Source organism: Homo sapiens, chromosome 14 (genome assembly GCF_000001405.40).
Source record: "Homo sapiens chromosome 14, GRCh38.p14 Primary Assembly".
NCBI classification, from domain to species: domain Eukaryota; kingdom Metazoa; phylum Chordata; class Mammalia; order Primates; family Hominidae; genus Homo; species Homo sapiens.
The window spans coordinates 75,942,148-75,955,754 of NC_000014.9; the positions used below are offsets into that span (position 1 = coordinate 75,942,148).

At 40.3% G+C, this 13,607-nt stretch overlaps 1 protein-coding gene across 1 annotated transcript in view; it reads left to right on the forward strand.

Annotated features, from left to right (window-relative positions):
• Positions 1 to 12,932, forward strand: part of TTLL5 (tubulin tyrosine ligase like 5) — a 293,834-nt gene extending 280,902 nt beyond the window's left edge. Inside the window, exon 32 of the mRNA NM_015072.5 lies at positions 12,277 to 12,932. Coding sequence (NP_055887.3) covers positions 12,277 to 12,299 — 23 coding nt within the window. The 3' untranslated portion in view covers positions 12,300 to 12,932. The remainder of the gene's footprint in view (positions 1 to 12,276) is intronic.

A 13,607-nucleotide genomic window follows, 5' to 3' on the forward strand; every position in this document is an offset into this window, starting at 1 on the left:
ACTCCATCCTGGGCTACAGAGCAAGACTCTGTCTCAAAAAAAAAAAAAAAATGTGTATCCCTTAACCTTCAGACAGCTGATGAGTGGTAGAAGCACTGGCCTGGAAGTACAGATTGCCGCTTACCACATCAGGCCTTTTGTTGTTTGTAGAAGCCTAGTTTGTATTGTTAGTTGGAAGTCTTTTGCCACCCATAGGGTAACAGCGCTATTGATCATCAGTCAATCAACTATTTACCAAGCAGCTCTCATGTAAATATTTATAAGGCAAAATGCTGGGTGCCCTGGGTCATGTGAAAATTTGTAAGATGCGATCTCAGCACTTAAGAGTGTAGCAGTGAAAATAAGCAGTATATGCAAGACAAAGTCCCTCCCCATGTGCCTCCAAATGATAAAAGAAACAATGATTTAGATCGTTTAGGAGGGTCTCTCCACCATTCCTCTCAGGTAACTTATGCTTCCAAATGAGCACGACATGTGAATCTGCTCTTGGCTTCAATGGTTCTTCATTCCTAGGTGATTCTCATAGTGCAGTTTACCTTGGCAAATGTTGATCACAATGTCTAAAAATACTTGCATTCTCTATGGCCTAAACACAAGCCAGTCATGTTAGTTGGGTGCTAACGAAAGAACAGAAGGATGGAAGTATAAGTGTGTTTGTTGGACTCCCTGATAGTTGCCGAACTGGCATGATGTATTTTACAGGTGCTTTAAGACTTTTTAGGGTAGTTCTGAATATATTTTATGTTTGTGTTGCTTGTTGACTTTAGGACTAACATAATAAGACATAACTTCATTTATTTCATAAATGCCAAGTGAGTGTATAAAGACAGTATTATCTGTAGACATTTGGCCAAAAAAAGACAGAATTTCCAGGCCAAGCCATTAAAGCAAAAATAAAGATGGGTTAGCTACAGTGGCTGGTATTTCAAAGTCCCACAAAAAAAAGGCGGTGTCGGGGAAGAGCTGGGCTGTAGTCGTGGTCATAGAGGCAGTGAGGGAAAAATGCAGTAACATCGTTGTTCTGTATACCTCTCCTGCTCTTATGACCCCGTCACTGGATCACCAGGCAGGAGTTAGGATTGAAGTGACTCTGTACCCGAATTATGGCAGGATGTAAGGGACAATAGGCAAATCTTAAGGTGAAGAGTCTAGAGGAGACCCTTCTAGACTGGGACCCCAGAGTGCCAGCTATAGTCTCCATATGTAAGTCAACTAGAAATAAGCCCTCCCTCTCGTCCACCCTTCAGTCCCTCAGGCATTGAAAGATAACTGGCTATCTGGAAACTTGGTGCTAAATGGAGTGGAGAAGGGGAATCTCCCCTGGTAATTTATAACCACAAGCTGGACCCCTTGTAAGCTTGGGCATGAATTCACATTCTGGAGGTAGCCTGAAAAACTTCAGACTGAGAGTTTAAGGTGGTCCTAAGGCACCTAGCAGAATCAAATGCATGTTTTATCTGGAGGAATCCTCCTCCAACCCAAACCTCAAATAATTCCCACAGGTAAAGTTTTGTGAGATCAGAGTTTAAAATCACAAAACAAATAAAGAAACATGGCACCATGAGCAAAGCCAGCAAAATAATAGATAACAGTGTTAGACTAAGATAATTGAAATTGCCAAATAGTGCAAAATAACTTTTCTCATATGTTTAGAGAAATTAAAAGAGAGAGTAAACCAAGAGATTAAAATTATGACCAAGCAGATTTGAAATAGAACTAAGTAACTCTTTTGGAATTGGAAAATAATAATAATTAAAGTTTAAAAATCCATGGATGGGCCTACCTGCAGATTTGACCCAGTTCATTGAAGAGAGCTTTAATGAACTCAAAGATGGATTTAAAGAAATGATCTGGGCACTTGTCTTTCGAGTCGCCTGCTTAGCCCTCTTCTAAGTGTGCTTTCCTTCCTGCTCTGAAGCTTTTTGATAAACTTTCCCTCCTGCTCTAAAACTTGCCTTGGTCTCTTCTTCTGCCTTATGCCCCTCAGTCAAATTCTTTCTTCTGAGGAGGCAATAATTGAGGCTGCGGCAGACCTGTACAGATACAGATTCACTGCCGCTAACATATTTTGGTGCCATGTGACTTGGATACCTTCCGCCGGTAACATACTTTGCTGTGTGACTCGAATACATTCCCTACTTGCCATCAAGCTTCAGATGATCCTCAGTGAGGGACACCATCCTCTCAATATTCAAGAGTCACCCTTCTACAAAGGACCCCTAGACTGCCCATCAGTGGAACAAACAGAGGCACAATCTTGCCCCTGTCTCCCTTGGGCCTGGCTGGATCCCACTTTCACCAACCCACGGAGCCTCCCTGCCCTGACAGCTAGCAACAGGCCAAAACCCACAGAACAGCCAACTACCACCTGTCAGTGGAAAGCAGTTACAGAAGACTGACCTTCATCCATTTTCCCCAAAGAATTGGGATCTTGGACTCTTGAGTCAGGAAAGGTTACAGTAGGTAGTCAGACATGAGCAGGGCAAGAGAGGGCTCCTGCCCTACCCCTTCCCACCACAACCAGGAATGTCAGGTGACCATCAGGTGATGATCAGGCAGTTGTTGAAACTGTCTCTCTAAAATAATAATCAGTTGCAGCCAGCACCAGGGAAAGGCAGTCTCCTTATAGATAGGAAAAACCTGAAACTAGTGATTAGTAGCTTCCTGATAAGATCTCAGGAGTTGGGGGAGTGGGCTTGAGCATGTGCACTAAGAGGCAAAATGGCGGCCTTTAACTGGCATATGACCTCCTAGGGACATTTGGCTGGTAAGGGAAAAACGCTTCAAGTGAGCATGCGTACAACTCCAGTAAACACACTGTGCATGCTCATCTCCCAAGTGCTAGCAGACCACTGCATCTGCATATGTGGACAGCCCACTCCAAGGGAAAAACCAGGGGAGAAGAGATGCAAGACGCCAGAAGTATGCCAGCATATAAAACCCCAAGTCAGAAGGTCAAACCTCATACTTGATCTCTCAAGCCACCTGCTTGGCCCTCTTCCAAGTGTACTTTCCTTCCTTTTGTTCCTGCTCTAAAGCTTTTATAGATATATAATATATATTACATATATTATTTTATAATATGTATTTTTTATAATATATATTATATATAAAAAAAAATTTTTTTTGAGACGGAGTCTTGCTCTGTCCCCAGGCTGGAGTACAGTGGCACGATCTTGGCTCGCTGCAACCTCCACCCACTAGGCTCAAGTGATTCTCCTGCCTCAGCCTCCTGAGTAGCTGGGACTACAGGTGCGTGCCACCATGCTCGGCTGATTTTTATATTTTTAGTAGAGACGGGGTGTCACCATGTTGGTCAGGATGATCTCGATCTCTTGACCTCATGATCTGCCCGCCTCAGCCTCCCAAAGTGCTGGGATTACAGACATAAGCCACTGCACTTGGCCTTCTAAAGTTTTTTAATAAACATTCCCTTCTGCCCAAAAAATAATAATAAATTGAAAAATAAATGATTGGGAATGCAGCACAGAAAGAAAAAGAGGTGGAAAGCCATTTGAGAAGGCCTAATAAATATCTAATTGGAGCTCTGGAAAGAAAAAATGGGACAACATTTGAAGAGATAATGGCTAAAAATTTTCCACAACTAGTGAAAGATACACATATTGCAGTGAATCACAAGAAATCCACACCTAGACACATCATACTTTAGAGCACTAAGGTCAAAAGATGTTAAAGCAGCTGGAGGGAGTGGAAGGATTACCAGAGCAATTCCAGTCTGATTGACAGCTAACTTCTCAGCAGCAAAGATGGAAACAAAAATACAGTGTAATGTTGCCATTGAGGAAAGGAAATAATTACCAAACCATAAATGTATTCTAAGCAAAAATATCTTTCATGAATGAGGATGAAACACATTTTCCAACACATAACACGCAAAAGAGTTTGTCACTAGTAGACCTTTGCCAAGGAGTCTAAAGAATGTATTTCAGACAGAGGAAGGTATTATAATACCAGAAGAAAGGTCTGAAATGCAGGAGGAATTGGGGGCAACATAATGAGCAACAAAATGATGATAATGTTCTTGTGAGGTTAAAAAGAAAATGAAAATGTCCAAACCATCATATCATGTAACTCAAGGAGAGCAGATGTTCAAAATTAAAGTCATTTAAGTTCATACTGTACAGTGAAAAGGTAAAGTTATTGATGAATTTTACCTTTATATAGTTAACATATACAATTGTTAAATGAATAAAGTATTTAAAAAAATAGAAAACTTCCAAAGTAGCAGAGAGAAAGTGGAATGAGATAGAGAATAAATCCACAAGGAGGAAAAGGAAACATGGAAGAGGTAGAACAAATAGAAAGCACAGCTTAAAACAGTACGAACAAATAAAAGTATTGGCCCTTTCCAAAATGTGAGTTGACTCAATGTTCCAGTGAAGGTCAAAGACTGATTGATTCATGAATGCAACAAATATGGACCAAGCATCTTCTGTGTGTTCAGCACTATTCTAGGCACTAGGCACAAGCCGTGGAGCAGTGAGCAAAACAGCCAAAAATCCCCAATAGGAGAGACAAACAACAGACCAAATAAGTAACACAAACCGTACATGAGAATGTGGGAAATGTTCTAGAGAGAAAAAAAAAAACAACAACACAGTGAAAGAAGGTAGAGAATGGGGAGGTTCGCTATTCTAAATAAAGTAGAGAAAGTGGCCTTTGCGGTGAGAACTGAAGAAGGGGGAATAAGCTGGCAGATATGGATGGAAGGGAACTCCAGGTGGAGGGAACAGCGGGAGCTCATGCCTGGAGGGAGGGATGTGGCTGCTGTGATTGGGAAATTCAAGTGGAGCTGTCATGTTGCACGAGAGAGCAGAGGAGAGTGAGAACAGATGAGGCTGAGAGATGACAAGGGGCCAGATCATGCAGGCCCTGGGGGCCAAGGAGAGGACTTGGCGCTTGTCTTCTGAGTGTAGTGGTAGCCATCAAGGAATTCTGAGCAGAGGATTTCACAGGATGGCTGTGGCTGCTATATCAGGCAGGGACAAGGTGGGAACAGTGGAGGGAAGAGAAAATGGCCAACCAGAAATAGTTATATTGTCAGCCTGGATTTTTAAAAAATAGACTTTTAGGCTATTAAAACAAGAAAATCTTACATAGGCATATATAAAGGATCAAAGAAAAAGGTTGGAAAAAGATATATTGGGGAAATACCAACCAAACGAAAGCTGATGTAGCTATATTTATCAGACAAAATAGATTTTCAGGCAAAAAAGCATAACAAGAAATAAAGAGGGTCACTACATTATGGCTAAAGGTTCACCAAGAAAGTGCTCAACCTTTTCTCGTCAACTTACTTTAACTAGTATATTTAATGTTTTTTTCATTTAATAAATACATATTTATGAAAAGTACATTGGGCAAAAAATTAACAGAACCATAAGAAAAATAGATAAATCTAGCTTTATATTGGAAGGTTTTAATGTAACTCAGTAATTGCTAGATTGAGCAGTCTGATAATAAGTAATGTTTCTGATAATAAGAACATTTAAGAGGCTGTGCATAGTGGTTCACACCCATAAACCCAGCACTTTGGGAGGCTAAGGCAGGAGTATCACTCTAGCCCAGGAGTTTGAGACCAGTCTGGGCAACAAAGTGAGACCGTCTCTCCAAAAAAATCGAAAAATTAGCTGGGCGTGGTGTGTGCCTGTGGTTCCAGCCACATGGGAGGCTGGCGCATCCCCATGCTTGAGCCCAGGAGGTTTAGGCTGCAGTGAGCTGTGTTCATGCCACTGCACTCCAGCCTGGGCAACAGAGCAAGACCCTGTCTCAAAAAAAAAAAAAAATCGAAATTTTAACTACATCATTAACAGGCTTGATCTCATAGGCGTGTATACAACATCACACTAAATAACTGCATAATGCACATTCTTTGCAATCTTCTATGGGGGAGTTGCAGAAACTACGTAGTAGGCCTTAAATCACATTTCAAACACTACATTCCTTGACCATAACGCAATAACAAAAAGATACTGGAAAAGTCCTCATATTTTTGGAAATTAAGAAAGAGTTAACTAATTTAAAAATCATAATTGGCGGGGCACAGTGGTTCACACCTGTAACCCCTGCGCTTTGGGAGGCCAAGACGGGTGGATCACCTGAGGTCAGGAGTTCGAGACCAGCCTGGCCAACATGCTGAAACCCTGTCTCTACTAAAAATACAAAAATTAGCCGGGTGTGGTAGTGGGCACCTGTAAGCCTAGCTACTCGGGAGGCTGAGGCAGGAGAATGGCTTGAAACTGAGAGGTGGAGGTTGCAGTGAGCCAAGACCGCGCCATTGCACTGCAGCCTGGGTGACAAGAGTGAAACCCTATCTTAAAAAAAAAAATCATAATTTTAAAATGTTGTTTAATATTAAAAACTTGACAAATGTAGGTAAAGTAATACCTAAAGGAAAATTTATGCTTACAGTGAGGGAAGAGGAGGGGCTGAAAGTTAATGTGCCAAGTATCTGGTTTAAGAAGTTAAAAAAAGAAAAACAAAATAAGTCAAAAGAAAGTAAAAACCAAAAATAATAATAGCAATAATAAAGATATAGAGGAAAATAAACATACAGTTGAGAGGAATGAGTTAGGGACATTATTATACATGCTTCGGAGATTAAACAGATTGTAGGAAGATACTGTGAATAACTTTATGATGACATGCTGATATATTTTTAAAACTTTAGTGGGATGAGTACAATTTTAATATTTAACTTACAAATATTTACTCAAGAAGAAATACAAAATCCAAATATTCCTTTAATTATTATGGAAACTGAATCAAGAACAAAAATCTTCCCACAAGTTAATTACCAGGCTTTTGTGTTTTACTGGTGAGTCCTACCAAACATTCAAGGAACAAATATTTCAATCTACAAACTATTCCAGAGTATAAGAAAATTATATAGGATCAGAAGGGAGGAGGCAGATCTGTCATTATTCTCAGATAACATATTTGATTGTAAACCCAAAAAGAACGTTCAAATAGACTATTGGCTTTATCAGAGAATTTTCCAAAATCAATTACATTTCTATATTTCTGCACAAACAGGTAGAACATGTGATTACTGAAAAGATATGCTTTACAGAGCATTAAAGCACATGCCTAGGAATAAATCTAACAAAAGATACGTAAGACCTGTGATAAAATATGTATATATACACATATATATAACCTTACCAAGAGACGCTTTAAGAATATATATATGTATTCTTTATATAAGGTTATATATATATAGGATATAGAATATATATATGGTTTTATAGAGTATATATATATTCTATATATATATATTCTATATCCTATATATATATAACCTTATATAAAGAATATATATATATAAAACCTTACCAAGAGATGCTTTAAGAAATTAATGGAGAGACCTACATGTTCGTGGATTAAAAGTTACAGTTTGTAGCCTGGCCTGGTGGTTCACGCCTGTAATCCTAGCACTTTGGGAGACCAAGGGGGATTGCCCAAGCTCCTAGGAGTTCAAGACCAGCCTGGGCAACATGGCAAACCCCCGTCTCTACTAAAAATGCAAAAAATTAGCTGGGCGTGGGGTGCATGCCTATAGTCCCAGCTTAGTCGGGAGACTGAGGCACGAGAATCGCTTGAACCCAGGAGATGGAAGCTGCAGTGAGCTGAGATCACACCGCTGCACTCCAGCCTGGACAATAGAGCGAGACTCTGTCTCCAAAAAAAAAGAAAAAAAAAAAAGTTACAGTTTTGTAAAGATACCAGTTCTCCCTAAAATTGATTTGTATATTTGAGAGGGTATTAGTTGTTTATTTTTATTTTTTGAAATTTATATGAAAGAGAGAAGAACCCTTATACTCCTATAAAGAATGGGGATGTCAGTAGGGGGCTGTGTGTGACTTGTCTTAACCAGATAACAAAAATTACCATCAAGCTAACATGCTTAAGAGAATGTGATATTGACACAAAATAGAGAAACCTAAAACTGGTCTATATATAGGAAATAACTTACGACCAAGACACATTGCGGTTAGAAGAGGAAGGGATAGATTTCAATAATAACGTTAGGACAATCAGTTTTTGTGTAGGAAAAAATGGAATTAGATCTGTGCTTCGAACTGTACACAACTTCAGGTCAGATTAGAGACTTAAATATGAAAAGCAAAAGTGTAAATCTTTAAGAATACATTAGAGGACCAGATCATTATAGTCACGGTAAAAGGAAAGGGCTTGTAAAATCCAATCCAGAAAGTGCAAACCATAAAGGTAAAAACTGATAAATTTGACCTGGTTAAAATTAAGAACTTCTAAGATGCCATGAAGATATTGTGGGAGTTTTTTTCCCTTTGTTTCTTATTCATCAGAGATAGATTCTGAAGATAATGTTATCCTGAGTTTGCTTTGAAAATACTCCAGGAAACAAATGTGAAGAGATGAAACAAATGGTACGATGCCGATCATTATCAAAGCTAGATGATGAGAACATGGAAGTGTATTATACTGTTTTATTTTTTATGTATGTTTGAAATTTTTTATTTTAAAAACCTTTGTCAGGGCTGGGTGCATTGGCTCACACCTGTAATCCCAGCACTTTGGGTGGCCAAGGAGGGAGGATCATTTGAGTCCAGGAGTTCCAGAGCAGCCTGGACAACATAGGGAAACCTTGTCTCTATAAAAATTTTAAAAATTATCCAAACCTGGTGGCACACGCCTGTGGTCCCAGCTACTCAGGAGACTGAGGTGAGAGGATCACTTGAGCTCAGGAGGTCGGGGCTTCAGTAAGCTATGATTATGCCACTGCACTCCAGCCTGGGCAACAGAGTTAAGACCCTGTCTCAAAAAAAAAACAAATGTGTTTTTTGTTTTTAATCCATCCTGTTTTTATGGTGACTGTCCTGGATTTTCTAATATTTTTTAAAAACCTTATCTGGGCCAGGTGTGGTGGCTTGTGCCCATAAACCCAGCACTTTGGCAGGCTGAGGCAGGAGGCTCACTTGAGCCCAGGAGTTTTAGACCAGGCTGGGCAATATAGGGAGATTCCATCTCTGCAAAAAAATAGAGAAAAAATTAGCTAGGCATGGTGGCACATGCTTGTGGTCCCAGGTACTTAGGAGGCTGAGGCAGGAGGATCGTTTGAGCCCAGGAGGTTGGGGCTGCAAGTAAGCCATGATCATGCCACTGCACTCCAGCTTGGGTGACAGAGCAAGACAGTCTCGAAAATAAATAAATACATAACCTTTTCTGTAAAGATCACTTGTTAAGTACATGTCTAAATACAATCTAATTTTTATCCTGAATAGCACTTATCTTAATAAATTACAAAACAATCTCTTTAAAAAAATACCAGGCAGGGCGCAGTGGCTAACACCTGTAAAGTCAACACTTTGGGAGGCCAGCGTGGGAGGATTTCTTGAGCCCAGGAGTTCGAGACCAGCCTGGGCAACATGGCAAAACTCTGTCTCTACAAAAAAATTTAAAAACTAGCCCAGGCATGGTGGTACATGCCTGTGGTCCCAGCTACTCAGGAGGCTGAGGTGGGAGGATTGCCTGAGCCCCTGAGGTTGAGGCTGTGGTGAGCCATGATTCTGCCTCTGCACAATACAGCCTCGGCGACAGAGCGAAACCCTGTCTCAAAAAACCATAGAATGAAGAGACAAGTCACAAACTGGGTGAAGATGTTTGTAATACATAAAAACCAAAAAGTTAGTATCCAGATATTTAAGCAAAGAACTTCTAAAATTCAATAAGCAGTTTCTTAGATATGACATCAAAAGCATAAGCAACAAAAGAAGAAAATAGACAAACTGGGCATCCTCAAAAATTTAAAATTTCCTGCTTCAAAGGACACTATCAAGGAAGTAAAACAACAATCCATGAAATTGAGAAAATATTTACAAATCATGTATATGACAAGGGACTTGTATCTAAAATACATACAGAGCGCTTACAATTCAATAATAAAAAAGACGACTCAGGTTTAAAGATGAGCAAAGGAACTGAGCAGATGTTTTGCCAATGAAGATATACCATGCCAAGAAGCATATAAAACGATCCTCAATATCATTAGCCACTGGGGAAATAAATCAAAACCACAGTGGTCAGCAGCCACCAGCTTGGAGGATCACTTGAGCCGAAGAGTTTGAGACCAGCCTGGGCAACACAACGAGACCCCATCTGCACCAAAAAAAAGAAAAAGGAAAAACACAGCAGTGTATCACTTCATGCCCACCAGAATGGCTGTAATGGAAAAGAGACATTGGAACCTTCATGCACTGTTGGGAGGGATGTAAAATGGCGTGACTGCTTTTGGAAACAGTTTGACAGTTCCTTAAACAGTTTACGTGAAGAGTTGCCATATGACCCAGCAATTAATTCCACTTCCGTATCTATACCCAAGAGAAATGAAAACATAGTTCAAATATTTTTACATCATTGTTTATAGAAGCATTATTAATAGCCAAGAGGTAGAAACAACCCAAATGTCCACAACTGATGAATGGATAAATGAAATGTGGTCTATACACACAATGGAATATTATTCAGCCATAAAAAAGGAGTAGAGTAGTGATGCATGCTACAGCATAGATGACCCTTTAAAACATTATGTTAAGTGAAAGAAGCCAGTCCCGAAGGATCATTGCATGATTCCATTTATATGAAATGTCCAGAATAGGCAAATCTATAGAGACAGAAGGTAAACTAGACTAATAGTTGCCTATAGCTGAGGGATGAGAGATGTAGGGGGTGGTGGCGAAGAAGTATGGGGTTTATTTTTGGGGTCATCAAAATGTTCTAAAATTGACTATGATGACGGATGCACAACTCTGAATATAATATACTAAAAGCTATTGAGTTGTACATGCTAAAGGAATGAATTGTACAATATGTGAATTACATCTCAAAAAAGCTGTTTTTTAAAAAATCAATAACAATTCAATAGGAAAATAAGCAAAAGGCATATCCACACATTTCATATAAGAAGAAACACTTATGCACAATAGATACTTGAAAAGATGCTCAACCTCATTTCTAATCAGGAAAGTGCTAATTAAGCCACAGTGGAATACCATTGAATACTCATGTGATTCACAGAAATTGTAAACTGAGGCAATACTGCTCCACATGTAGAGGTGTGGAGAAGTGAGGATGCTCATACATTTCCAGAGGGAGTGTAAATTGTATAATCACTTTGGAAAATAAGATGGCATTAGAGAGTTGAAGATCCAAGTGTTTATGGCCCAGCAATTCCCCTCCTAAGTGTATACCCAAAGAAATTCTACCAGTAGTATACTGAGATTGCATGTGTAATCACAGGAGCACTACAAAATTCAAAGCCACATAAAATTCAACAGTATATTATATAGGGGCATAAAGATCATAAACCTGTTTTTTTAAAAGCAAACAAGGGAAGGATAAACACAAAATTCAGGATGGTGAGAATGGGAAAGAATTGGGAGGGTCTAGCAGGGATGCAGGGTAATGGTAAAGTTCCTTTTCTTAAACTAGATGGTGAGCATATAGGTGTATATTGTTGGGATTGAGGGGTTGAGGAGAAGGCAAAGTATTATCTGACACTCTGACATTGAGGGAAAATTTAGAAAAACTCAAAAGCATACATGGAAGAATTTTTTCATGCACTTTAAAAATGCTGATAATACACTGTGTTTCTAGAAAAGATGGACATATTTAGCATTTTTTAATTTGAAAAGGGAAAGATAAAGTGTTTTTGTCCAAGAAAAAAAAGGAAAGAGAACAACACAGAAAAGAAACAGCAGTAGAATTGGGAGTATTTTAGGAAGGTTTCCAACAAAAGTGGTTAAAATTAAGAGCTTTGTGGCCAGGCGCAGTGGCTCACACCTGTAATCCCAGCACTTTGGGAGGCCGAGGTGGGCAGATCACGAGGTCAGGAGATGGAGACCATCCTGGCTAACACGGTGAAACCCCATCTCCACTAAAAATACAAAAAAATTAGCCGGGTATGGTGGGTGGTGGGCACCTGTAGTCCCAGCTACTCGGGAGGCTGAGGCAGGAGAATGGTGTGAACCCGGGAGGCGGAGCTTGCAGTGAGCCGAGATCGCGCCACTGCACTCCAGCCTGGGCGACAGAGTGAGACTCCATCTCAAAAAAAAAAAAAAAAAAAAAAAGAGCTTTCCACTTAGAGGTGAACTTCATTTATTTGGGCCACCACTTCTTTATTCTTCAGTGATGTTAGATAAACCAGACATTGCTGCCTGTAAGTAAAACCCCATGCTGTCATTTCATTCATTTCATGGTTGCCTTTCTCTTTTTCAGATCCTGCTCACACTAAAATATGAACCACAAACACACAGAGAAACAACCTGTTCACCACTCCTGGGTGCATGATTGAGGGTGAAGCATCCACCAGCACTTCAAGGGGTCCATAGTATTTTTTTTTTTGCTGCCTCAAAGTCCCCAAAGCCTTCGAGCAGAAGTGGCAGTAGATGGTTGCCAATCAGCCAATGCAGACTTTCACTGGGACAACAAGAAAGCAGATCTTCTGGGTTTTGATGGAACTTGGCAGTGGGGACATTCAGCTGATGCATTATATACCCCGTCAGAGCACACTTGTATCTTTTACCTTCCCTTTGCCCCATGCCCCCAAACTGCTTAGGTCTTCTCTGTCCCTTTACTGCTGCTGCACAGAGATGATATAAAAGAGGCTCTTTGGCTATTTGCATTTTGCTTCCTCTTCTTTTCCAGATTACAGTATGAAGCTTTATTTTCTTTGTACAAGCTTAAAATTTCAACATCATCATCCGCCAAAGTTGTTCCTCCCTTTTCGGAGGATCTAGGGGGAAAGAGGAGCATTCATCACAAGTTTCCTAGAGAGAGGAGACAAATCGGTGTGCCATTGACAACATGAGCCAGGGTAAAGGCACCCTTTGGAATTACTGATTTCAAAGATTAATAAAGTAATTCTATTTTTATTTTCTTTTTTTTCCCTTTACTAATTTCCCAACAATCAATATTCACAAACAGGACTGAAGTAGAACCAGTTTTTTATTTTACTTTGTGGCTGTGCAATTTTTTAAACATTTTAGAAATGTGAGCTGTAAAGAGATGTTTTATTTTTACATTTCATTTCAGCAGATGGTGGGTCCAGGCTATTCCCAAAGGCAGCTCCTGCACCTGGGGAGCGGGCATGTGCAGATGTCTCCGTTATCAGCCCTCGACAGGCAGGCTCACTCACAGCGTGGGCCTCCAGTGGCTTGAGCCCTGTATCCAGTTGCATGTTGCATACCTCGCAGTTCACCTGAATGATGCAGCACAGCCCCAGTGCTCTCCCCTCAAGCCTCCGCCCTCTTGCTTCCTCCCCTTTCCTATGTCCTCTCTCTCTGGCTTCTGCTAGAGAAAAGGTTGAGAGTTGGACAGCAGAGTCCACTGAAGGATTAACTTAGCTGCCCTAGAGAGTTATCAGGGGAGAACCCAGGCTCTGGGGCTTCTTCAGCAGGGTACTATGGACTCAGTGTTGAAATCCAAAAAGAAAATTGACACCTGGCTGAGCGCAGTGGCTCACGCCTGTAATCCCAGCACTTTGGGAGGTCGAGGCGGGTGAATCACGAGGTCAGGAGTTCAAGACTAGCCTGGCAAAGATGGTGAAA